We start from the raw sequence: 3,192 nt of genomic DNA, 5'->3' as shown, positions 1-3,192 counted from the left end.
TGATAACTGGCACCTGAAAACAAGAGGTAAAGAAAGATTCTCTCCTTCAGGTTTCAGAGGGAGCATGGTATTGCTAACATCTTGATTTTGAATTTCTGACCTCCAAAACTGAGAGAATAAGCTTTTGATGTTTTAAGCTACCCAGTTTGTGGTATTTTGTATGACAGTCCTAAAAAATGAATACAAATAGTAAACCATAAGCAAAACTACAAGCATGGAAATTTACCCTAATTCACTTTCTGCGTAACACTTATGATTCAAAAATTGATATTATATTTTGTATTTTTAATTATCTTTCTCACGTAGGAGAACATAAACATCCTGAGGGCAAAATCTTTATTCAGTTTTTATTTTACTCATAACACTTAGAACATTGAGTGGCAATTGATGTGTTTGCTAGTCAGGATATTATTCTGGTGAATACTGTTCATTCTATGTAACAAGAAACCACTGATGTATCAGTAGTTTATGAAAGGTTTAGTTTAACTGATGCCACCTATCCAAAACAGGCAAAGCAGTGGGACTTCCCCTTCCTGCGAGTCAGGTAAAATATTTGATACATGTTTTCATAGCCACAGAGATGGGGGGAAACAGAACATGGCAAAGAATGACTGGACTCTATAAAGTTTTATATTCTGGATTAGTCAGAATTTCAACAGAAAACAGTTGGTAAATACAACTAAGAATAATTTGAGGAATGCTTCCATACAAAGGAAGGAGCATGAAAGAATTGTAAGCAATAAATCTGGAACTGGCGCTCAGTGAGGATAAAAACAAAACCTGGAAAAAGAAGGAGTAGAAGATCAGACCACCTGGAGAACAAAAGTAACCTTCTGTAAAGAGACACATGTAGGGAAGACAGCCTCATGGAGAAGAGACCAACAGAATAAACACGAATAAACACCGTGACCCTTTTCTCCTCTTCCTTTCTGCCTTCTTACAGGGTTCTCCACAGGCTGAACCTAACCTGAAGCCAGAGGGTGAGGGAGCCTCCTAATGTACTCGTGAGAAGTCAAAAAAAAAAAAAAAAAAGGCCAATGAGTCAGGAAGAGTGGAAAGGGTTGCATTAGAAGATATTTTACACATTACTTTCCTTTTTTTATGTTACCATTATAAAGTGATATATCTAGAAGCAATCTTGCACAACAATCTTTATCTACATCTCAGATTGTGTAAACTTTATAGCTTACTGTTTCCCTCATGAAAAGTAAAGTATCCCATTGTAAGAGTAAGACAATATACAACTATGTTATATAGTGTTAACTTCTGTTAATTGTTTGTAAGACAAATTATTGGGGTGATTACATGAAATAAGGAGGTCTAAATTAAACTTTCAATGACAGAAAACCAGCAATATATAAGAAACAGAACAAACATTCTTAATGTATTTAATGTATTTCAATCTGTGTATTTAGCATCTACTTATAATTTTTTAAACAATTTAACTCTAGTTTTTAATATAGAGACCATTACACCATTTCTTCTTATATTTTTAAATTACATTTTATATCATCTTTATCATTAGGATAAGCAGGGGAGAAATGTTGAATATATTGATTGATGTATCTGATATATACACTCATGTGCCACATAATTATGTTTTGGTCAATGACAGACCATATATGTATGATGTTGTCCTCATAAGATTCTAATGGCCCTGAAAAATTTCTATCATCCAGTGATATTGTAAGCCACCTAACATTGTAGCAAAATGTATTGCTAGTGTTTGTGGTGATGACGGTGTAAACAAATTTGCTTTTCTTTCAGTGATACTAAAGTACACATGCAATTGTGTGCAGTACATAGTATTAGATAATGATAAACTCTGTTACTGGTTTATGTGTTTTATATATTACAATTTTTATCATTAGAATTACCCCTTCTACTTATGGAAAAACAGTTAAATCTGTACAATAGCCTCAAGCAAATCTTTCAGGAAGTATTACAGAAAGAAGCATCATTACCATAGGAAATAACAACTCCATGAGTGTAATTATCTCTGAAGCCTTTTCAGTGGGACAAGATGTGGAGGTTCAGACAGTAATATTGATTATCCTGACCTCATGTTGACATAGTCTAATGTGTTTGTTTGTCTTTTTTTTGTTTTTTGTTTATTTTTACAAGAAAGGTTTACAACATAAAAGAAAAAAAAAGAAATACCGAAGTGGTTCCCCAAGACACCAATTTAAAGTGTATATGTGCAGTGCAGGGTTACTGGACCAAGGCACAGTGTAAACAGCGAAATTTTATTTTTTGTTTTCTTTTTCCTAAGATGTTCCTTACTCCCAGTTACATAAAAATGTGTATTACAAGCAAACAAAAATTAACAGGAATAGAAATAACTATAAAGTATATTCACATTAAAATCAGCTTTGCTTTATCTATTAAAGGATGTAACACAGTTGTGGTTTTCAGGACCTTGTAACTCCTGGTGAATTGGAAAGCACAGAAATTCTTCAGAGCCTCAAGAGTTGTGTTTAATGCATTATTTAAATAGTGTCCAACCACTAGTTAGATAGCTTAGCACTCAAATAGCTTTTGAAATCTCTGTAGACTCACCTCAATTGAAGAGTCCTGATAATTTACAGAAGTGTGTAGTGCACTAAGAGATCCCTGCTGTACGATGTCTGCCTGTGGAGTGTTTTATGTGTTGATCCACTGGAGTGTGTGTGTGTGTCTGTGTGTACGTGGGTGAGTATGGGTGGGTGTGATTGTGTGTGTGTGTATGTGTTTACATTGTGGTATGTGTCTGTTGGGGTGCCGCCATTAGGGATTTGGAAGAGTGAGGACCATAAACTTGTCAACATTCCTACATGCCTGCTTCATAACAAGTGTACTGAACATGGCCAAAATAACTAAACCAAGTAAACAAATTAGACATTAATTAAATTTAATGCTGGGCAGGAAAGAAGTAGTCAAGGCCAGGTAAAATGAAGAAATATAACCAAGTGAATGAAATTTTTAGATTGATTCGTAGAATGAGACAGGAATATTTTTTAAAATTTGTAATTTCTAATGACTATCAGTATATAAAACTAAGAATTATATGGCTGTCAATTGACTAAAAACTGTACATAAGATTTGAGCTAGTGAAACAACCATATATGAACTTCTATTTCCACTTTTCTGTCTCAAGAATGACTTGTGAAAATGATGTTTTTTTTGAAATTTTACATTCTCATTTTGAAAGAG

This window comes from Homo sapiens, chromosome 9, assembly GCF_000001405.40.
Source record: "Homo sapiens chromosome 9, GRCh38.p14 Primary Assembly".
NCBI classification, from domain to species: domain Eukaryota; kingdom Metazoa; phylum Chordata; class Mammalia; order Primates; family Hominidae; genus Homo; species Homo sapiens.
Note: the sequence above shows the minus strand (reverse complement) of the source record.